We start from the raw sequence: 23,166 nt of genomic DNA, 5'->3' as shown, positions 1-23,166 counted from the left end.
TATACTAGTGGGTACAAATGTTAACAAGTATTATATTGAATTTACATAGGATTTTTAGATTGCTATTTCAGATGAATCGTGTATCCCCAAAATACCAAAGCTGAAAGACAACGGTCACACATTGCTCAACAATGGGCATACATTCTGAGAAACGCGTTGTTAGGTGATTTCATCATTGTATGAACATCAGAGTGTACTTACAAAAACTAGATGGTCTAGCCTGCTACACACCTAGGCTATATGGTACAGCCTATTGCTCCTAGCCTATAAACCTGTGCAGCATGTTACTGTACTGAATACTGTGGAAAATTATAACACAATGATAATTATTTGTGTTTCTAAACATAGAAAAGGTACAGTAAAAATACAGTATTAAAGATAAAAAATGGCACACCTGTAGAAAGCACTTACCATGAATGGAGCTTGCAGGAATGGAAGCTACTCTGGCTGAGCCAGTGAGTGGTGAGTGAATGTGAAAGCCTAGGGCATTGCTGTACACCACTGCAGACTTTATAAACACTGTACACTTAGGCTACACTCAATTTATAAAATATTTTCTTTCTTTAATAATAAATTAACCTCAGCTTATTGGTAATTTTTTGACATTTTCAAACTTTTTGACTCTTGTAAAAGCACACTGCTTAAAACACAAACACGTTGTGCAGCTGTACAAAAATATTTTCTTTATATTCTTATTCTATAAGATTTTTTAAAATTAAAATTTATTTTAATTTTTTTACTTTTTAAACTTTTTTGTTAAAAACTAAGACATAGAAACTCACATTAATGGCCGGACATGGTGGCTCACGCCTGTAATCCCAGCATTTTAGGGGGCTGATTTGGGCAGATCATCTGAGGTCAGGAGTTTGAGACCAGCCTGGTCAACAAGGTGAAACCCTGGCTCTACTAAAAATACAATAATTGGCCTGGCATGGTGGCGCATGGCTGTAGTCCTAGCTACTCAAGAGGCTGAGGCAGGAGACTCACTTGAACCCAGGAGGCGGAGGTTGCAGTGAGCTGAGATCGCACCATTGCACTCCAGCCTGGGCGACAGAGCAAGACTCCGTTTCAAAAAAAAAAAAAAAGAAACATTAACCTTTTGTAGGCCCACATTAACCTTTGTAGGCCCACATTAACCTGAGCTTACAAAGGGCTAGATTCATCAATGTCACTGTCTTCCTCCTCCACATTTGGTCGCACTGGAAGGTGTTCAGGGGTAGTATAAGGCCTGGAGCCATCTCTTATGATAACAATGCCTTCTTGAATACCACCTGAAGGATGTGCCTGAGTCTGTTTTACAGTTACCCATTCTTTTTATAAGTAGAAGAAGTACACTCTAAAAGTATTTTATAATAGATACATAAACCAGTAAGATAGTTGTTTATTTTCATTATCAAGTATTATGTACTGTACATAGTTGTATGTGCAATTGTTTGAATATGTATGAGTGGCAGAGCAGTTGGTTTGTTTATAGTAGCATCACTACAGACATGTTGAGTCATGTGTTGCACTACAATGTTATGTTACTGTATTATAGTCCATTCTCACACTGCTATGAAGAAATACCAGAGACTGGGTAACTCATAAAGAAAAGAGTTTTAATGGACTCACAGTTCCACATGGCTGGGGAGGCCTCAAGAAATTTACAATCATGGCAGAAGGCACCTCTTCACAGGGTGGCAGGAGAGAGAATGAGTGCCAGCAGGGGAAAAGCCAGACTCTTATAAAACCATCAGATCTCGTGAGACTCACTCACTATCAAGAGAACAGCATGGGGGAAGCTGTCCCCATGATTCAATTATATCCACCTGGTCCCGCCCTAGAACGTGGGGATTATGGGGATTACAATTCAAAGTGAGATTTGGGAGGGGACACAGAGCCAAACCGTATCAGTTACCTACAAAGTCACTAGGTGATAGGAATTTTTCAACTCTGTTTTAAGCTTAAGAGACCACTGTCATATAAGTGATTGACTAAAACCTTGTTATGCAGCAAATTACTGTTCTGGAAAACAAGAATTTACCCATCTCATATACTAAGTATATTGTTTAGTTTTAAAATGTTCTGTATATTATGCTGTTTTAACATTTAAAAAAACTTTCTGGGCTGGGTGTGGTTGCTCCTTCCTGTAATCCCAGAACTTTGGGAGGCTCAGACAGGAGGATCACTTGAGCCTGGGATTTGAGACCACTCTGGGCAACATAGTGAGACCCTGTCTTTACAAAAAATTTTAAAAGTTAGCTGGGTGTGGTGGTGTGCGCCTGTAATCCTAGCTACTTGGGAGGCTGAAGTGGGAGGATTGCTTGAGCCCGGGAGTTTGAGGTTATGAGTACCACTGCACTCCAGCCTGGGTAAAAGAATGAGACTGTTTCTTAAAACAAAACAGAACAACAACAAAAAACTTTTCTGGGTGGGGAGAGACTGCCCCTCTTAAGGCTGGCCAATTTTTAAGGATAGCAAAGGGCTCAAAGGAAAGCTTGCCTTTGGTATGCAGACTAACCAATCCAGAGATCTGGCCTGTACACACCAGGAAGTAATATTCACCTGCCTTAATTATCTCAGGGCCAGATACCAGGTAGCTAGGGACTTCTCCTTAGAGCCTTTCCAAATTATTTAAACAAGCCAATCCTGCCCTGCCTTGCCTTCCTCACAGGAACTACAATAAGGGCCGTGGCCTAGGCTCTTACCTTGCTCCAGCCCCTTCTGCCTCCTGACTGAAGCTGGTGCTTCCCCGTGTGGCCCTGCATGGTGTGACATGCCTCCTGTTTCTAGGATCTGTGAGTACAATAAAGTTTGTTTTCTTGAGCCTTTCCTATGACTCCTCTCATGGGCACACCTGAGTGACCATCACGTAACAGAACACAGAATACTAAGAGTGGGACAAAAAAAAAAAAAAAAAAAAGCAAAACCAACCCAACAATCAGTTGAGAATAAATAAAACTTTATTTAATAAATAAAGAAACAGTCCATCACATCCTCTAAATTGCCTTTAAAAACATGCAGCTTATATTAAATTCTGATTCATAAATTTAATTTTTATTCTTCTAATTGCAAAATTTCCAAACAAAACACAATCCCAACAAATCCTTAAGAAAGCAGGACTAGGGAACAGCAACGGGTGTCATGTAGATGACGTGTTCTACCAGAATACAATACCATGTGCCTTCTGAGGAAGGACGTGATTTATGCTCGCAGACATTTTGGCTTAAATGATCACTGGTTTTCAGTTCCACAGAAGGTCTTCACATGCATGATGTGGAGGAACATGGATAAAAGCCAAGATCTGTTAATTGCTTTCTAGTAATAGAGGTGAAATATACAGTTTATGCAATGCACGCATTTCAAAATAGTCACTATAATGGCTTTTGCATTAAGATTTCAATAACCAAAAAAAGTACTCTAGAAAATAAGTTGACTCCAGCTTCCTGAGATGGAAGCATACCATGTTTGCGGGACTTCTGGGGCCTGGTGTGTTTTCAAGTGGGAAGAACTTATGCATGGAGAGGGAGAAAAAGCGTTACAAGGTGTCACTTGATTTGGATTGAATTAAGTCAGCTGTGGGTGCTCCACGACTCCTTACTTGAAGTGTGTGTGTGTTTGTGTGTGTGTGGGTGTACATCATTTGTCAGTCTTCATGTGAATCAACAGGATTAAGTTCAGACGTGATGTAGCTGAGAATGCAAAAACAGAGACCAAAGGATATGCTTATTTTTGAGGGTCCACGTATACCAGGTATTCTAAAGCTGATTTATTCAATGTAAGGCCACTGAGATGCTGGCATGGGATGTTTCTTCATTAGGGTTTGGGACAGTACTGTGGAATTGTCCTGAACTACTTATGCCAGAAAGGAATACAGAAACTCCCTTGCTATTTCTCTGCACGGTGGAGTCATCATTTCCACTACCTTCAATCATAGACACAGAAGTCAAAATTCCCCTAGGCTATTCTGCCTACACTGAAGTGAATTTCCCTGGAATCTCCCTACAGAAAGCAGACAGGATATTTCTTGAAAATCCATTTGATTTTTCTTTAGGTTTGTCCATTTATTTCTTTGCTGCATGCCATCTTGGAAGACAAAATCCCATCATTGTGTACTACCCTTCTAAGGAAGGACAAAGTAGTGGGCAGGAAAGAAATGTGAACTTTTTTTTTTTTTTTGAGACGGAGTCTCACTCTGTCGCCCAGGCTGGAGTGCAGTGGTGGGATCTCGGGTCACTGCAACCTCCGCCTCCAGGGTCAAGCGATTCTCCTGCTCCAGCCTCCCAAGTAGCTGGGACTACAGGCGCACGCCACCACACCTGGCTAATTTTTGTATTTTTAGTGGAGATGGGGTTTCGCCATGTTGGCCAGGATGGTCTCGATTTCTTGACCTCATGATCTGCCTGCCTCGGCCTCCTAAAGTGCTGGGATTGCAGGCGTGAGCTGCCGCGCCTGGCCAGTAATGTGAACTTTTTAAACAAGTTAACTATTTACTTTGGAGAAAAATATTTTAAACATTAAAGACATTTTTAAAAATATATATTTAAAAAACTGCTACCACTCTTTTGGGGGGGGGGTTGTCTAAACGCTTCATAAATATTTATTTATGCATTTATCCTACCCTCCATCCTCAGCAAACCTCACTACTTTGCTTATTTTACAAATAAAGAGACAGAGATCCCAGAGTTATGAAAATATTAGAGAATCTATCTAAACTCATTTGAATGACTAAAATCCTCCTTAGAATTCACCTAAGAATTTACAAACTAGGAAGCTTTCCTAATGCTATTAAATATTCTAAAAATTTTTATCTGGACAGGGAGATAATGAAAAGAGAAGATTAGGTCAATAAATTTAATGCTAATGATTGCAAAAACTAAGTGAAAATCATAAAAGAGGATAAGGTGTCTCTGAAATCAAAATACTGGAAACATTTTTTACCAATACTGTGTTAAAATATAGTTGCATTAAAATTTTCTCATTTGAATTATTTTAGGATTTTTACTGCCCTTAAAACATGCAGTAAAACTTTTATACTGTATACATATTTAGTCATCTTTTGGCAGTGACAACTATAGTCAATACTAGTATACATTCACTGGATTCTTACAACAGTAATCATGTGGAAAGTACAGGAATCTATCTCTTGTTTGCTGATAACTCATTGAATCTGTGTAGAAACATTGGAGTTTTTGGAGTTTTGGAATATTGAGCAATTACTTTTACCATGCTAGCTATATACAAATAATTTATGTTTCTTGTGAGTATAAAAACACCTCTTATTGTAACAAGATTATATTCATATCTCCATGAATTTCCAGTCCAAACTGTGCTTGCCCATCTTTAAATCCCATTTTTTAATGTGTATTTGTTTTCAGTTAAGAAGCGTTTAAGAATGAAAACCAAAATCCAGTTATCTTTCTGTTGCTCCAGAGATATTTTAACCAGGTTGTAATACATGTAGTAATTTATACAATATAAATAAGAATCGTTTATAAAATTACTTTTAAATGTCAAATAAGGCCCAGGGCAGTGGCTCACACCTGTAATCCCAGAACTTTGGGAGGCCAAGGTGGGTGGATCACCTGAGGTCAGTAGTTGGAGACCAGCGTGGCCAACCTGGCAAAACCCCATCTCTACCAAAAATACAAAAAAAATTAGCCAGGTGTGGTGGCACATGCCTGTAATCCCAGCTACTTGGGAGGCTGAGGCACGAGAATCGCTTGAACCCGGGAGGCAGAGGTTGCAATAAGTCGAGATTGCGCCACTGCACTCCAGCCTGGGCAATACAGCGAGACGCTGTCTCAAAAAAAAAAAAAAATCAAATATATTTGTACATTTAAAAATTCGGGAGGCTGAGGCAGGAGAATCGCTTGAACCCTGGAGGTGGAGTCTGCAGTGAGCCGAGATCACACCACTGCACTCCAGCCCGGGCAATACAGTGAGACGCCATCTCAAAAAAAAAAAAAAAGAAAGAAAGAAAGAAAGAAAGAAGAATTGGTCCAATTGCTTCTTGGCCTTTTAGCTAAGACCAAGTGTAGTATCTGCTCTTATCAGTTCTAAGAAATAAAAAAAAATTGGTTCATTCATTATCAAAAAGTAATCTTTAAACCTGGAAACTATAACTACTTTCTACATTTTAAAGAAAAATGTACATTTATTTCAGCCTTAAAATACTATTGTCAAATAATGTTGAAATATTTTACTTTTTATTATTAGAGAAACAGTTTCTATTCACTTATATGTTAAAATCTTCTAGCAAATTAATGTTTATAGCAGTGCAGCCATTTTCAATACTCTCAGCATTTATGGCACAATTCTCAGAGGATTGAAAAGTATGCTCTTTCTTTATTTTTTGCAAGTTCAAGGCTATTTCTCTTTGGAATTTGAAGTGGCTATTATGTACATATTAACCAAAGGCAGCTTGTTTATGGTTCTATAATACCAAGTATGCTAACTAATGTAATTAGAAATAAGAGGCAAACATATTTTTAGCAAATATGCAATTTTTTGCACTGCACAGATTTTTAAAAACATGATATTAGCAACTTTTTAGCATACTGATGACCACTGCATTGTCAAAGTTTAGAAGATGCTTGGCATTCTTCAAACAATGCTTCAGTAATGAACTTTCTGGAATATTGATACACTTAAAACAAGAAAAAGCTATTAGTGATTAAAAGGACTTTGACTCTATTGAAGTCTAAGTAACTGTTCATTTACCGGTAAGGCATGTTGACTTTCAACTCAACCATTAGTGGAAATATTTTTAATGCAAGTTACCCAAGGACCCTGGAAGGGACCCTGAATAAAGGCTATTATGAGTAAATTTGCCTACATTTATGGTTTCCCTGGCAGTTTTGAGTTTACAATCGATTTATTAATAGCCCATATGCACATAAACTCAAGGTCCCGGCTTGGAAGGTACTTTGGGAGCACATGGAGGAGAAGGAAGAAAGGAAGAGGCTGTGATTGGCAGGAACAGTTCGGGTGTCTGAGTCAGTTCCCTCTATTTCCCCTCACAGTTTGATTTTTTTTTTAAAAACTCTCTCAGCAATTTTATTAAATAGAAGTTGATGGGAGGGAGAAAGCAATTGGTTTTAAAAATTCAGCACCTCTGTGAAGTTAAAAGACTCTCGGGCATTTAGAATTTGTTCAACTGGACTGGTTTCTTCTGGATACCAAGCCAAGATGTATGGAACTGGAGTTAGGTCATTGTGGAGCGTGAAGCACCCTGGCAGGCCTTGGGGAAGGGATGAGATGGGACAAGTTAGAGCAGTGAGATTATAGAACATGGGGCACAGGGCACCTGGGAAGAAAAACAAAGAATGAAGGCTAGATGCAGAAAGGATCATAGACACTCTAGCTTTGACACATCATAGGCACCGAAAAGGAGGAGGAAGTAGTCTTTTTTCTCTTATTCACTGCTTTGTCTGGTTCCCTGTTCTTGAGGCCATAACCCAATCTAGTGTAATAGGTACAGGTATGCCTCGGAGATACTGAGAGCTCTGTTCCAGACAATAAAGCAAGTCACATAATTTTATTGCTTTCACAGTGCATATAAAAGTTATGTTTATACTGTAGTCTATTAAGTGTGCAATAGCACTGTGTCTAAAAAACAATGTACATACCCTAATTAAAGAATACTTTGACAGGGCACTGTGGCTCACACCTGTATTCCCAGCACTCTGAGAGGCCCAAGTGGGCGGATCGCTTGAGCCCAGGAGTTTGAGACCAGCCCTGGGCAACACAGTGAGACGCTGGCTCTACAAAAACTTAAAAAAATTAGCAAGGTACTGTGGTGAGTGCCTGTAGTCCCAGCTACTTGAGAGGCTGAGGTGGGAGGATGGCTTGAGCCTGGGAGGCAGAGGTTGCAGTGAGCAGAGATGACACCACGGCACTCCAACCTGGGCGACAGAGCCAGACCCTGTAACAACAACAAGAACAACAACAACAAACCAAAAAAAACTTTACTCCTAAAAAAAAATGCTAACAATAATCTGAGCCTTCACAGACTCATAATCTTTTTGCTGTCAGAGGGTCTTGTCTTGATGTTGATGACTGCTGACTGATCAGGGTGGTGGTTGCTGAATGTTACAGTGGCTGTGCCAATTTCCTAAAATAACAGCGAAGTTTGCTGCATTGATTGACTTTTTCTTTCATAATGATTTCTCTGCAGCATGCAATGCTGTTTAATAGTACTTTACCCGCAGTAGAACTTCTTTCAAAATTAGAATCAATCCTCTCAAATCCTGCTGCTCCTTTATCAACAAAGTTTATGTTATACTCTAAATTGTTTATTGTTATTTCAACAATGTTCATAGCATCTCCACCAGGAGTAGTTTCCATTTCAAGAAACCACTTTCTTTGCTCAGCCATAAGAAGCAACTTCTGATCTGCTAAAGTTTGATCATGAGATGGCAGCAATTCAGCCCCATCTTCAGGCTCCACTTCTAATTCTAGTTCTCTTGCTATTTCCATCACATCTGCAGTGACGTGTTCCATTCAAGTCTTGAACCTCTTGGTCATCCATGAGGGTTGGAATCGAATTCTTCCGAACTCCTGTTCATGTTGATATTTTGACCTTCCATGAGTCATGAATGTTCTTAATGGCATCTAGAATGGTAAATCCTTTCCAGAAGCTTTTCAATTTACTTTGCGCAGATCCATCTGAGGAATCACTGTCTATGGCAACTATGGCCTTAAGAAATGTGTTTCTTAAATAATAAAACTTGGGAGTTGAAATGACTCCTTGATCCATGGGCTGGATCAAGAACGGATGTTGTATTAGCAGGCATGAAAGCAACATTAATCTTCTTGTATGTGTCTATCAGAGCTCTTGGGTGACCAGCTGCATTGTCAACGAGCAGTAATATTTTCAAAGGAAACTTTTTTTCTGAGTCTCAATGGTGGGCTTACAATATTCAGTCAATCACACTGTAAGCGGATGTGCTGTCAACCAGGCTTTGTTGTTCCATTTATAGAACACAGGCAAAGTAGATTTAGCACAATTCTTAAGGGCCCTAGGATTTTCAGAATGGTAAATGAGCATTGGTTTCAACTTAAAGTCACCAGCGGCATTAGCCCCTAATGAGAGAGTCGGCCTGTCCTTTGAAGCTTAGAAGCCAGGCATTGACTTGTCCTTTCTAACTAGGAAAGTCGCAGATGGCATCTTCTTTCAATACAAGGCTGTTTCATCTACATTGAAAATCTGTTGTTTAGTGTAGCCACCTTCATCAATGATCTTAGCTAGATCTTCTGGATAACTTGCAGCTTCTACATCAGCACTTGCTGCTTCACCTTGCACTTTAAGATTATGGAGATGGCTTCTTTCATTAAACCTCATGAACCCACCTCTGCTAGCTTCCAGCTTTTCTTTTTTTTTTTAGACGGAGTCTCGCTCTGTCACCCAGGCTGGAGTGCAGTGGCAGGATCTTGGTTCACTGCAAGCTCCGCCTCCCAGGTTCACGCCATTCTCCTGGCTCAGCCTCCCGAGTAGCTGGGACTACAGGTACCCGCCACCACGCCTGGCTAATTTTTTGTATTTTTAGTAGAGATGCGGTTTCACCGTGTTAGCCAGGATGGTCTTGATCTCCTGACCTCGTGATCCACCCGCCTCAGCCTCCCAAAGTGCTGGGATTACAGGCGTGAGCCACCGTGCCCAGCCTTACTTTCAGCTTTTCTTCTGCAGCTCTCTCACCTAGCTCAGCCTTCACAGAATTGAAGAGAATTATGACCTTGCTCTGACTAGGCTTTGGCTTATGCGAATGTTGTGACTGATTTGATCTTCTATCCAGACCACTCAGACTTTCTCCATATCAGCAATAAGGCTGTTTTGCTTTCTTATCATTTATGTGTTCACTGGAGTAGCACTTATTTCCTTCAAGAACTTTTCCTTTGCATTCACAACTTGGTTAACAGGCACAAGAGACCTAGCTTGTGGCCTAGCTCAGCTTTTGACATGTCTTCCTCTCAAAGCTCAATCATTTCTAGCTTTTGATTTAAAGTGAGAGATGTACTACTCTTTCTTTCACTTGAACAGTTAGAGGCCAATGTAGGGTTATGAATTGTCCTAATTTCAATATTGCTGAGTCTCAGGGACTAGAGAGGCCCAAGGAGAGGGAGAGAGATGTGGGAACAGCCGGTTGGTAGAGCTGTCAGAACACGCACAACATGTAGCGATTGAATTTGCCGCCTTCTATGGGTGCAGTTCATGGTGCCCCAAAGCAATTACAATAGCAACATCGAAGACCCCTGATCACAGATCACCATAACTGTATCATAATGTTGAAATTTTGAATTGTTGCCAGAATTACCAAAATGCGACACAGAAACAGGCAGTGAGAGCACACGTTCTCACAGGGTTGCCACCGACTTTCAATTCGTAAAAACTGCAGTATCTGTGAAGTACAGTGAAGTGAGAAGCAGTAAAGGGAGGTATTTCTGTGCTGTAATCAGTCATGAATTAGACGGGCTTTTCTGGATTCACTTGGGAATCCAGCGTTGGGTGATATGTGTGTAAGGAAATATAGTCTCAGTTTTAAACAACCACTTTACAAATGAATATGTGGAGCACAACCCATTTATCATGTGAGGATTATCCAGGTGAAACTGCCCTTACCAAAGTCATCTTTTGACTCCTCTGGGAATGATTCTTCCTTGTACGTGTTCCTCAGGGCCCTAAGTCTACTTGCTGCTTGTCTATTGACCATGTTTTCTTATTGAATGCCTACAAAAGTTAAGTGATGAATAAAAAGAGAAGGATGCATTTAAACCACTTCTGCTATTTGGAAATTCTGCATAATCCCTTAGTTTGGTGAAGAGTGATCTATCTCAACAAGGCAGTTTTGGTTTAAACGGTGCATTTTCTTTCTCCATTTTCCCTCTGATCCCCAATGCCATGACTAATTAAGTTATGAAAAGCCCTTCAGTTGCTTGGAGAGAAGGGTGCTTATGGAATCTGCACACATTTTTGAAATAAATGGCGAGGCAAATTGCATCAACTTTCCTTCTTTCCTTGATCCATTTTTTGCAGGTTTCTGAGCTTCCTTTGGGGGCTTCATGAATGCTGCATGTCTAACAAATGTAGCACAAAATAGTAGGGTCTAATAAAGCCAACGTGTGTGCTTATTTCTATTTTCCAGGCACATACTGCACGCGTAACCAGGGGCAGTACCTTCCTCATGGATTCCAGCACTACAGCTTTGTGCCATCTGCATCCCTTCAGACCTTTACGGGTAAGTTCTACGATAATCATGGTAATAAAATGATTCTTCTCAACCTTAGTCGCTCATCGGAATCACCTGGGAAGCTTTAAAAAATACTGATGCCTGTGTCACAACCCCAGGGCTACTGATTCAGTTGATTTGAGAAATGGCCTGGGTGTTGAGATTTTTTAAAAGCTCCCCAGGAGCTTTTAATGTGCAGGCAAGGTTAACAATCGCTGCTTAGACTGAATACACTTTATATAGAAATAAACCTACTTGTATACAATTTAAAATTCCATTTAGGTTGATAAATATTTATTGAGTGACTACTCTATATAAGGCATGAAAAAAAACTCCTGACACAGTCCGTACCAACAAATAGCCAAAACCTAATGCAAGCAAGAGTGGGCTAGTGTAAGAGGGAGGGCAGGCAGGTACACAGAGGCTGTGTTCTGTACAAAGCACTGTAGAGGCCGGGTGCAGTGGCTCACACCTGTAATCCCAGCACTTTGGGAGGCTGAGGCTGGTGGATTTCTTGAGGTTAGGAGTTCGAGACCAGCTTGGCCAACATGGTGAAACCCCGTCTCTACTAAAATTATAAAAATTAGCTGGGCATGGTGGGGGGTGCCTGTAATCCCAGCTACCTCGGGAGGCTGAGGCACGAGAATTGCTTGAACCCTAGGAGGCAGAGGTTGCAATGAACGAGATCACACCACTGCAAGCCAGCCTGGGCAACAGAGTGAGACTCTGTCTCAAAAACAAACAAACAAAAAAACACGTAGAAAGTAATCTTTTCTTCCTCCAGACTCAAGGAACTTGGTATAAGGCTTCAAAGAAAGTAGAATTATATTTGGTTGGAGTGTGGGAGATCCTAAAATATATCAGAGGTAATGGCATTTGAGATGGACTTGAAGGAACTGATAAGACTTCCGTAGGTGGAGACTGAGGAGAGCCTTCCAGGCAGAGGCAGAAGAAAGGCATGTGGCTGAAAAGCAGGGGCCTGTGTGAGGTTTGCTGCTGTGTTGGGCACATTTTCTGAGTAATGGATGAAAAGCTTTGGGATCATATTAGGTAGCACAGGGCAGGTCAGCTGGTACCTGAATTGGCTCCAGGTAGCCATTAGGGGTTTGAACACTTGGAAATAATATTAATATAACTGGAGCAGTATTTTGCAAAGAATGATCCGCTGCTGAGATCTGGGCTAGGTTTGAGTAGGAAGAAATGGCAGGACTAGAGGCAGGAAGACCAGAAGGAGTATGTTATGGTTGAAGTCAGTAGTATTGAGGTGAAGTGGCCGGACCTGGTGGCTCATGCCTGTAATCCCAGCACTTCGGGAGGCCAAGACGGGCAGATCACTTGTGGTCAGGAATTCAAGACCAGCTTGGCCAACATGGTGAAACCCCATCTCTACTAAAAATACAAGAATTAGTTGGGCATGATGGCTCACGTCTGTATTCCAAGCTACTTGGGAGGCTGAGGTAGGAGAATCGCTTGAACCTGGGAGGCAGAGGTTGCAGCGAGCCAAGACTGTACCACTGCACTCCAGGCTGGGTGACAGAGCAAGACTCCATCTCACAAAAAAAAAAAAAAAAAAAAAGAAGTATTATTGAGGGCAAGTGAAGGAAGTAATGGAAGTCTGAACTGGAGCACTGCAGGGGAAAGGAAGAAACTCCTGACTATAAGAAGAATGATAGAAGTAGAATCAGCAGGACTTGTCCATTGATAGGGTAGAGGAAGCAAAAACTGACTTGGATGTTTCTTATTAGAATTATGAGGAACGTTGATGGTGCCAATAACAGAAATCATTAAACTAGATTGAGGAATGGATTATAAAGGGAAGATGAATCTGATTTTGGATATGTTGAAAACAAACATCCAATGGAACTAAAATTTTTATTCAAATATTCCTCATTGTAATTGAATTCTAATTGGATTCTTTTTTGAAGTCAATATTTTGTAGGGATAGCATCTCACTATGTTGCCTAAGCTGGCCTCGAACTCTTGGGCTCAAGCGATCCTCCTGCCTCAGCCTCCCAAAGTGCCAGGATTACAGTCATTGTGCTCGGTTGAGTTCTAATGGAATTCTTAAAGCAGGGCCTTGATTTGTTTGACACAGTGGTTCTCAACAAAGGGGGATTCTGCCTTTCAGGGAACATACGGCCATGTCTGAAGACATTTTGGGCTGCCACAACTTGGGGAAGAACAACTAGTGGATAGAGGCCAGGGATGTTGCTAAACATTCTACAATGCACAGGACAGTCCTCCATAACAGAGAATTATCCAGTCCAAAGTGTCGGTAGTATTGAGGTTGGGAAACCCCGCTTTAACATAATCTAATAGCTCAAATTTCAGTAATTTTTAGGCCTGTTAATGTCTGGGGTGAGACAACGCCACCTAGTTGCCAAATGTAATATTTATCTTAGTTTTCTGTTCAGAAAGCTAAAACACAGAGATGAAGAACATCCTTTCATGGGAGAACTATCTAGGGTTTACAGAAGTAGCTGTGATGGGGAGGTCTGGTGTACAATCTAGGAGCAGTCCTGGAGTTAGAAAGTGCTCTTTAAGCTGGGCACGGTGGTTTATGCCTGTAATCCCAGCACTTTGGGAGGCCGAGGTGGGTGGATCACTTGAGGTCAGGAGTTCGAGACCAGCCTGGCCAACACGGCGAAACCCTGTCTCTACAAAAAATACAAAAATTAGCCGGGCCTGGTGGTGTGTGCCTGTAATCCCAGCTACTTGGGAGGCTGAGGCAGGAGAATCGCTGGAACCTGGGAGGCGGAGTTTGCAGTGAGCCAAGATCGTGGCACTGCACTGAAGCCTGGGTGACAGTGAGACTCCATTAAAAAAAAGAAAGAAAGAAAGAAAGAAAAAAGTGCTCTTTGTTTATAAGAGATCTCAGAAGTCAATATGGAAACAATATTTCACTGGATTCCATATGAAATGCATTCTATTCCATTAAGGATGCCTGTATTTTACTGCTGTTACTGAATACATTAAAAAACAGAATCTAATAATTCTGCTGAATAATTGAAATAGTTATTGCTTGAGGATGTAACCTATGGCATTTTGTTTCATTAAGAAATAAAGATTGAAAAGATTTTTAAAGTTATAAAAAAATAGAATGAAGAGCACTAGAAACTTCTATTTTGCTTCAAGAGACAGCATTCTGCACACCTCAAATATTACCTTCCCTAATAGGTTGTGAGCTCCCTGAGGGTAGGGACTGTGACTTGTTCATATCTTTATATCTGCCGCAGTATCTCTAGCACAGCATCTCATACAGAGTAGACATACAAATGATTTCTCCAGTGAATGAATTTATTTTTATGCTGGAAATCCTTGCCTTGAAGTGAAGACAGTTTCAAGCCTTTCTAAGCAGTTACTGTCTGTTCACACAAATACAATGCCAGCTGAGTGTGCTTGGCACAGACAGCACCAGGGATTCCAGCACAGGGAATTGAAAACAGACACCTGCAATTCATTTCCCTGCACAGCCTAGAGCAAACTGTGCTGTGATGAGCATTCCCAGGGCAGTGTTTGGACTGGTGTGTGGGTGGCATATTCCTGCAGAATATAAGATTAGGTTATCTTATAATAGACATAATAACAGAAGATTCATTCAACCAGCAAATATTTATTGAATGTCTACTTTGTGCTAGGTACTCTTCTAGGTACTAGGGATATCACAGTGAACTTAAGTCTAAAAATTCCTTAAGAGGCAGGGTTTGAATTGGTGATTAGAATAAAGATGCATATTCCCCTTTCTCCCAACTTTTCCACCTAGCAGAATATTCTCTACATAGAAAATGCAATTTGACCAATGATCTCAAAGCATTTCAAAGCTATTAAAGACCTCTCCTTCCAAAACCCCTGCTCTGCTGGGGCAAGTGACAAAAACAACACTCTCCCATCATTTCCTCTCCTTGTTTGTATCTCTTCCTTCCTCCTACACTTTCAGACTTTTGGGGAAAGGGGTAGGAGCCCATGAGGTGTATTTTATGGGCAAATGATGACTCTTGCACATTTTGTAAGTGGTAGTTGAAGCTAGTAGTTTTTAAAGTGACCCCACAGAGGATTTCTTTCTGATTGGTTTATTACCAATCCTTTAGTTCTAGTGTCTAGGGATATGCAAAGTCAGAAAAAAACAGTCACCACCCAAAAGAAAATAGTGCAGACAAGCTGGTAAGGCCATGCTTTGGCCACAAAATAAGTGCACTGTGCAATATCAAGTGTTTCAGCAAGTTTTTGGAATCTCAAGCACATTTTGACACCTTATTATGTGGCTCAGTACACCCAGGATATGCAAATCAAAAGTGTTTGCCCGCATACGTGAGTTGTATGGCATGACCTCCTAATGCTAAGTGGAAGCTGATTTGGTGAATTCACCAAAACTACTGCTATACATGTAATCGATGAAAGGTGATGGTGACCTGTCCGCCTTTCTCCTTGGCATTGTTTGGTGAGTTAGTCATATCCTAAGGTCACTACTGCCTAGCTCTTCTCAGCCCAGGCATATGGCTCCTAATTGCTCCTAGTATGACCTAAACATCCCTAACACAACAGGGAGCAGGGGAGCATGCTAGTTTTTTCCCAAAGCAGTGGATGGCAACTGTGTGACATCTTTGGTTCATCTGTATTATCTTCTCACATCTCTGTTGGAATCTTTAGAAGGCACAGCCCTACCTTTCTCCCTCAGCTGAGACTGCAAGAATCCCTAGCTGACTTATTCAAAGCACTCTTTGCCACAGGTCCAGCAGTGTGGGAACTTACTCAACTTCGGTTGCTTGGAAACCACCAAGTCTGGCTTGTTCTCATTCCCCCTCCACAGTCCGCTCTCTTACACAGCAGGTACCTAGACATTCTTAAAGTTCATCACTCTCCACTACACTCCGAGAAGAGCATGAATACACCATCGTGCTTTCCATGGAGGAAAAGGCAGAAAATATGTCAAGTCCTTTACTGGTGAGAGATCCGTAGCGACTGCCACTGGGCCGGACAGACATGGGCGGTGGGATCTGATGGTGCCACTGAGCTGGAAAATGGACCAAATAATGTGTTATGATCAAAGGAATGCAGTCCAGCATGTACGCTGCAGAGGTGCATTCTGTCCTCACCCCGATTCTCCCTGAGCATTCTTGGTAAAGCATATAACTATACCTGGGTCTGAATTGCCTCGTTTGTAGAAGAGAACAATAAAGCCTTCCCTGCCAGGAATAAGGAAACTGTGCTGGTGATATCTTAAGCCCCTAATTCCAAAATCTGTGATTCTAATTCAGTAAGAGATTAGAATCCTACAAGTGAGAGATTAGAATTCCTCTAAGATGCGGCCAGGCACGGTGGCTTATGCCTGTAATCCCAGCACTTTGGGAGGCTGAAAAGGGCACATCACTTGAGCTCAGGAGTTCAAGACCAGGCTGGCCAACATGGCGAAACCCAGTTTCTACTAAATACAAAAATTAGCTGAGCATGGTGGCATACACCTGTAATCCCAGCTACTCAGGATGCTGAGGCACGAGAATCACTTGAACCCAGGAGGCAGAGGTTGCAGTGAGCCAAGATCACACCAAGGCATGCCACTTCACCTGGGCGACAGAGCGAGACTCCATCTCAAAAAAAGAAAAAAACAAACAAAAAAAAAAAAAAAAAGAAAAGAATTCTATAAGATGGAAGAGTGGGTGACGAGGGTGATTTCTCAAGCTTATCCCCTTCCAGCGTCCTACCATGAAGACCTGTTAGGGGCAGTGTACAGAGGGTTGTAGGCTCTCAAAGAGGGTACCTCAAAAGATAGAGACAAGAAAGCTGCAGAAATGAAAGCCAAACAATGGGTTTGCCCCTCTGAGCAGTGCCTACCTCACACCCTAATCACCCTAATCAGTCATTACCTACCTACCCACCTCCCTAATCAGGTTCTATTGTTACAGCAAGAAGACTGAAAAGTAATTTAGATACAATCAACCATGGTTCAGGGACAAAAGATAATTTATTAGAGTTTCTATGTTCACCAAGTGCTGCTGTTTTTAGCAGATATGACTTTAAGGTTTGAACATGGCCTGAGCGAGCTATCTGTCCAAACTTCACAGTCTCTGCTGTGGTTTCTGATTCAGAAATTACTGGGCAATCTTCTGATTAGGTTTCTGGGGACCTTGGTGTGCAGAAGGGCGTTCCCTAGGTGGGGAACTCTCGTGCTCTGGGTCCTGGAAAGCTGTGCCCCTTTCTAGCATTCTGATTTAGAAATTGGTCCTTTGTTGATTTCATCATCTTGATTCAGTTTTCCAGTCTACATACCTCTGAGTGAATTCAGAAAAATCAAAATTTGGAGGACCAAACCTAGAGCGGTTTCACTAAAGAGCAGACACTCAGTAAGGCCTGCTCTTGCGCAGTCTCTCCTCCCAGCCCCTCCATCTCTTAGCCCTTCCCGGCTCTCTCTGACATCTTAACTGGACTACTGCATTTCCTAGGATTAGGAAGTGAGAGAAGAGAGGGGAGCCCTACGTGTCCCTATTCCTCAGAAAGGCAGGAAGTGTGGTGGCGGGGAAGGGAATCGATTCCAGCCCAAGTCCTCCACGCGTCCTCCATCCTAGGTCCCAACTGAGGAAACAGCACTGCCTATTGTTGGTGCTATGGAAGCAGGACAGGAACGAAAGGGAGAGGAGAGCCAGGGCAAAGTGACCTGGAAACTCAGCCACTGGAGGGCAGGATTGGCACAAGAGTCATCTGTTTCAGGGCTTATTGGTGGGGAGTTTCTCAGTTGGAGACCTACTGCCTTCTGACTTGGTGAAGACTGGGAAATGGTTAAGGACTGAGCCTTGATTAAGGAACATATCACTACTGGCCTCTTTCTCCCCCGATTTCTCCAGGGAAAAGTACATTAGTGTCTGCTTCCTTCACAGTTTAATCTCTTCTCAAGTCCTAGGATAAGGGAAAATAACCAGAAAATTATATATTTTCTCCAAAAACTAGACCTAGAGAAAATGGCAGGCTGAAGCCCCTCCTGTATGGTACTAAATAAAGGGAATACCTGCTATGCAACCATAAATAGCAGAGAGATCTATCAGGTAATAGACAGAGCTAGTCTTATTTATTATTTTGGCTAATTAGGTTAAGCCAGTTTTGAATGTGAGATTTTCTAATCAATTATGTTTTTTCAAAAAGGATTAAAAAAACCACTCTTTTGGGTTAAGAAATATGTCTCTAAAAATACCAGTTAATGTCAAAAAGTGTAGGATTGAGCACACAAATACATAAATAAAAATTTATTTCTTAGATCCTTTTGAAAATTGGAAATGTGGTTCAAAGAAACAATGCAAAGGCCTAGATTTGCTTCCTAGCTGTAGTCATTAACCTCTCCAAGTCTTCCACTAAATATATAGCACAGTCAATTTAAGTGTGGGGGAGCTTTCCAGAAGACGTGCTCCAGCTCAGTCTAAAAGGTTGAGTGGAAACTCACAGGGAGGGTGGGGTGGGCTGTTCCAGGTGGTGGGACAGCCTGTACAATGTTGTTACTCTCATGTAATTTTCAGCGTTAAATGAAGGTAACTACAATTATAATAATCTCATGGGTCTGGGAGATTTAAAGGTATCACTTTGAATCCCGCCTTTGGACGAGAGAGGGGAGCCTATGTGTCATCCTACAAATGTCACTTGATATTATTATTATTATTAGGACAGCTCTCTATTATTAGAGAAGTCTGGGGGATTGGAGCAACACACATTTGTTAAAGGAATAAATGAAAGGAGTTTCAAAAATTCTGCCGGGGCATCACAGGCAGTGGGAAGTTCCAGTGGGTGGCCCGCGGCAGCAAGGAGATGGCAAGAAAACATTGGCTGTTCAGAGGCACAAGCACTTGCAAACTCTGGACTAGCTGTAATTCCTGGTATTAGAGGCACTGTTCTGGAAGAAGGTGAAGCTCATAGTAAAATGTAAAAGTGTACAAACGCCCTGAGGTAACCAGGATGAGATGACTTTTAAAATCTATCTCTTAAGCACTAAAATATAGTATAGTCTACCCGATTCATTTATGGAAACATATTCCATCTATATTTATTTATTTATTTATTTTGAGGCAGAGTCTTGTTCTGTTGCCCAGGCTGGAGTGCAGTGGTGCAATCTCGGGTCACTGCAACCTCTGCCTCCTGGGTTCAACCAATTCTTCTGCCTCAGCTGCCCGAGTAGCTGGGATTACAGGTGTGTGCCACCATGCCTGGCTAATTTTTGTATTTTTAGTAGAGGTGGAGTTTCATCACGTTGACCAGGCTGGTCTTGAACTCCTGACCTCAGGTGATCTGCCTGCCTCGGCCTCCCAAAGTGCTGGGATTACAGGCATGAGCCACCTTGCCTGACCCATTTATCTTTAAAAAAATATTTTTAAGCTGTCAGTTGCATACAGATGTTCAACTAACAGCATTACACTTACCGTATATATCCAGCCTGGCAGTGCACGACACGATGCCGGCTTCATTCTTGGCTGACAACGTGTACCATCCAGCGTCTGATTTCTTGGCTGGCTGAATGAGAAGGCAGGCATACCCTGTTGTGTCCTGGTGCATACTGGAGAAAAAGAGAGAATATACCTATATTTTATCGGGGGGCAGAAATGCCTTTGTCAAATTTAGGGTTCCAGGAAGAAGGGGGAACTCAGCTTAAGGCAGACATCAAGACAAATTTGAAGGTGGAAGACGTCAAAGAAGAGCAGCAGTGAGCTTAATCATGCTAGGAGGAGGGGGCAGCTGGGGCTGAGACCTGCTGTTGCCCTCCCCACTGCTGCAAGTCCACTGAAGTTGCGCTCCCCACCAGCAGAACCCCCAATTTTCACAACCAAAGTTCAGAAAGATCTCTTTTCCAAACAAGGTTGGACATTTCATCGATAACTTTGTTAGGATGCTCTGGGATGAACAGGGAAAGCAAGACAAAATAGAGCCAGGGGGTGGATGAACTGGCAGCATAGACGGCATTTCCTAATGTAACCAGCTGGGCTCGTGCAGCTTCCAGCTTCACGAGGTTTAGGAGGAAATCAGCCTGCTGTTTCCTTCTGTTTTTCTCCACATCCATAGTTTTTCACCTTGACTGCATATTGGAATCCCAGGCCATATCCCAGGTAATTATATCAGAATCAAAGGCTGGGATCCAAGCATTAGGATTTTTGGAAACTCCCCAGTAATTGCAATATGCAGCCATGGATCAAAAACCATAGGGCCACATGTTCCCTACACCCCTTGTTGGCCTGGCCCTCTTATCACTCATACTTCCAAGCTCTCCTCTGGGGCTGCCACAGCTCATTTGCACAGTAGGGGCAACAGCAACGGCTTCCTGAGCTCAAAGGATGAATAAGTGTTTACCTTTCATTGAAAGTTATTATGTCTAAGAATTTATAAAGTAATAAGAATAAAGAATAAATCAATCAATAACAAGTATAACAAGAATAAAGTAATAAAATATCCACCACAATTTCACTACACTAACACATTGGCTACCTTCACCTTCTGATTAGTCAATTAATTAATCCATTCATTCTTTGATATATTTCTTTAGTAAACACTTACGAATACTATGTTGGGGAAAATGCTAGGTGCTACTGCCTTGGGTGCTGAGGGTGTAAAGATGAACAGGACAAAAATTCCTTCTCTTTTTTTTGAGACAGAGTCTTGCTCTGTTGCCCAGGCTGGAATGCAGTGGTGTGATCTCGGCTCACTGCACCCTCCCCCTCCCAGGTTCAAGAGACTCTTGTGCCTCAGCTTTCCAAGTAGCTGGGATTACAGATGCCTGCCACCATGCCTGCCTAATTTTTCTTTTTTTTTTTTTTTGGTAGAAATAGGGTTTCACTGTGTTAGCTAGGCTGGTCTCGAACTCCTGATCTCAGGTGATCCACCCTCCTCAGCCTCCCAAAGTGCTGGGATTACGGGTGTGAGCCACCACACCTGGCCAAAGAAATTCCTTCTCTAGAAGGATCCCTAAGTTTAATGGAAAATAAATAAATAAAAGATAAATAAGTAGAAATAAAGATAAATAGAATGCAACAAATGCTAGAGTAATGTCGTGGGAAAGATGCCTGGGGAAGACAGAGGGGAAAAGGTTATTCTGGGAAGCCACAGGCATCAAGAAGGAGGCATGAAGATACTGGATGTTCAGAAGCACCAGCATATGTGAGGTTAGGCTCACAGAAAAATGTAACACTGTATAAAGACCTGAGACGACTAAGACGAGATTACTTTAAAAATCTATTTCTCAAGCACTGAAATATAATGTAGCCAATTCAAGGGTGGGAAAACTTCCCAGAAGATGTGCTCCAGCTCAGTCTCAAAGGTCGAGTGGAAACTCACAGGGATGGTGGGATGTGGCTGTTCCAGGTGGTGGAACAGCCTGCACAAAGGCGTGGTGGTGTGGGAGGGATCATGGCATATTCCTTACAGCTGGGGTTGGAGTGCACACGGGGTACTGGCAAGTGGGGGGACTAGGAAGAAGGCAGGGGAGAGGGTCACGTGCACTATGGTAAAGGGACGGGACCCTTCCTCTCAGATTATGGGAAACTAATGATATATTTTAAGCAGGAGTTGATATAATCAGTTTGTATTCTCTTTTTTTTTTTTTTTTTTTTGAGACAGAGTCTCAGAGTCTCACTCTGTGGCCCAGGCTGGAGTGCAGTGGTGTGATCTCAGCTCAGTGCAACCTCTGCCTCCCAGGTTCAAGTGATTCTCCTGCCTCAGCCTCCCAAGTAGCTGGGATTACAGGCACATGCCACCATGCCTGGCTAATTTTTGTATAGTAGAGACAGGGTTTTGCCATGTTGGCCAGGCTGGTCTCCAACTCCTGACCAAAGGTGATCCACCTGCCTTGGCCTCCCAAAGTGCTGGGATTACAGGCGTAAGCCACTGCGCCCGGTCAGTTTGCATTCTTAAAAGGTCATTCTCACAGTGGTGAGGAGGGGTATTGAATAGGGCTTGAGCCTGGCCGCAGAGAGACACATTAGGGTGCTATTGCTGTAGTTTAGTGAGGTGAGGCAATAGCCGTGGAAATTCATGCATTTGTTTGTAATTCCTTCATCTTACATAATATGCTACTAGGTGAAAGGCATTGGGTGTTGTGAAGAGTCAGGACATACGAAAACAAAGAAGACGTGGTCTCTTCCTTCAAGATGCTCACAGTCTAGTCGTGGGAGAGAGAATGAAACCATTAGTACTAACAATTGTGACTACGTGCAACAGTTGCTGGTAGAAGAACATCAACTCAGTCCTGGACCAAGCTGGGGAGGAAGCAGGGGCACTGCTCTTCCTTAGAAAGATGATGTTTGAGGTGAGTATTAAGGGATAACAGACATTAGGGAAGTGGGCTGCAGCGTGGAGGTAGAGAAGAAGGCGAAGAGAGTTCCCAAAGAAGGAATGTCCTGAGCAGAGGTATATAGGTGAGAGAAGGCAGGGACATGAAAACCATAAATACTTACAACACTTACAACACAGTTATAATCACAGTGATATACAGGCAGTTCCTGACTTAGGATGCTTGCATTCCACATGCTCCTCAATTTATGATGGGGTTACATCCAGGTAAGTCCATCGTAAGTTGAGGAGCAACTGTATCTCTCTCTCTCTCTCTCTCTCTCTCTGTGTGTGTATGTGTGTGTGTGTGTGTGTGTGCGTGCGCGTTTTAGGACCATTCAGATGTTCCTAGGTGTGTGGTTTTCAGAAGCTAATCACTATGAGTTTAAAGTATCAAAATATCCTATTCTTTTTTTCTTTTGAGACTGGGTTTTGCTTGTCCCCAGGCTGGAGTACAATGGCATGATCATGGCTCACTGCAGCCTTCAAATCCTGAGTTCAAGCAATCCTCCCTCCTCAGCCTCCTGAGTAGCTGGGACTACAGGTGTGTGCCACCATGCCTAGACAATTAATTTTTTTTTTTTAGAGATGGGGTCTTGCTATGTTGCCCAGGCTAGTCTTCAACTCCTGGTCTCAAGCAATCCTCCTGCCTTGGCCTCCCAAAATGTTG

At 42.2% G+C, this 23,166-nt stretch overlaps 1 protein-coding gene, 1 long non-coding RNA gene and 1 pseudogene across 13 annotated transcripts in view, besides 2 other annotated features; 2 read left to right on the top strand and 1 right to left on the bottom strand.

The window, feature by feature from the left end:
- The first annotated feature begins 2,743 nt into the window (after nucleotides 1-2,743).
- Nucleotides 2,744-22,459, top strand: LOC124902443 (uncharacterized). The gene is made up of 3 exons (XR_007062176.1): nucleotides 2,744-2,777; nucleotides 11,124-11,216; nucleotides 22,245-22,459. It is a non-coding gene; the product is annotated as an uncharacterized LOC124902443 (long non-coding RNA).
- On the top strand, nucleotides 5,985-6,102 carry LOC124902593 (uncharacterized; annotated as a pseudogene).
- Nucleotides 8,480-8,649: an enhancer, noted in NCBI's record as "experimental_16197 CRE fragment used in MPRA reporter constructs". NCBI's record gives its function as "activates a minimal promoter by MPRAs in K562 erythroleukemia cells, with activity observed for both the introgressed and non-introgressed 10:69977697 variant alleles {active_cell/tissue: K562}" and the evidence as "EXISTENCE:reporter gene assay evidence [ECO:0000049][PMID:34662402]".
- Nucleotides 13,070-13,239: an enhancer, noted in NCBI's record as "experimental_16173 CRE fragment used in MPRA reporter constructs". NCBI's record gives its function as "activates a minimal promoter by MPRAs in K562 erythroleukemia cells, with activity observed for the introgressed 10:69973107 variant allele {active_cell/tissue: K562}" and the evidence as "EXISTENCE:reporter gene assay evidence [ECO:0000049][PMID:34662402]".
- Nucleotides 14,487-23,166, bottom strand: part of MYPN (myopalladin) — a 124,121-nt gene continuing 115,441 nt past the window's right edge. For all 12 annotated transcript variants that reach the window (NR_045662.4, NR_045663.4, XM_047425879.1 and 9 more), the window contains 2 exons: nucleotides 19,601-19,734; nucleotides 14,487-16,218 (listed from right to left, as the gene is read on the bottom strand). Coding sequence is in view for 10 of the 12 variants with exons in the window: in XM_047425879.1 (XP_047281835.1) it covers nucleotides 16,049-16,218; nucleotides 19,601-19,734 (304 nt within the window). In the remaining 2 variants the exon portion in view is untranslated. The remainder of the gene's footprint in view (nucleotides 16,219-19,600; nucleotides 19,735-23,166) is intronic.

Source organism: Homo sapiens, chromosome 10 (assembly GCF_000001405.40).
Source record: "Homo sapiens chromosome 10, GRCh38.p14 Primary Assembly".
Classification (NCBI taxonomy): domain Eukaryota; kingdom Metazoa; phylum Chordata; class Mammalia; order Primates; family Hominidae; genus Homo; species Homo sapiens.
The sequence above is the reverse complement of the archived record's forward strand: the minus strand, read 5'-3'. Positions and strand labels throughout refer to the sequence as shown.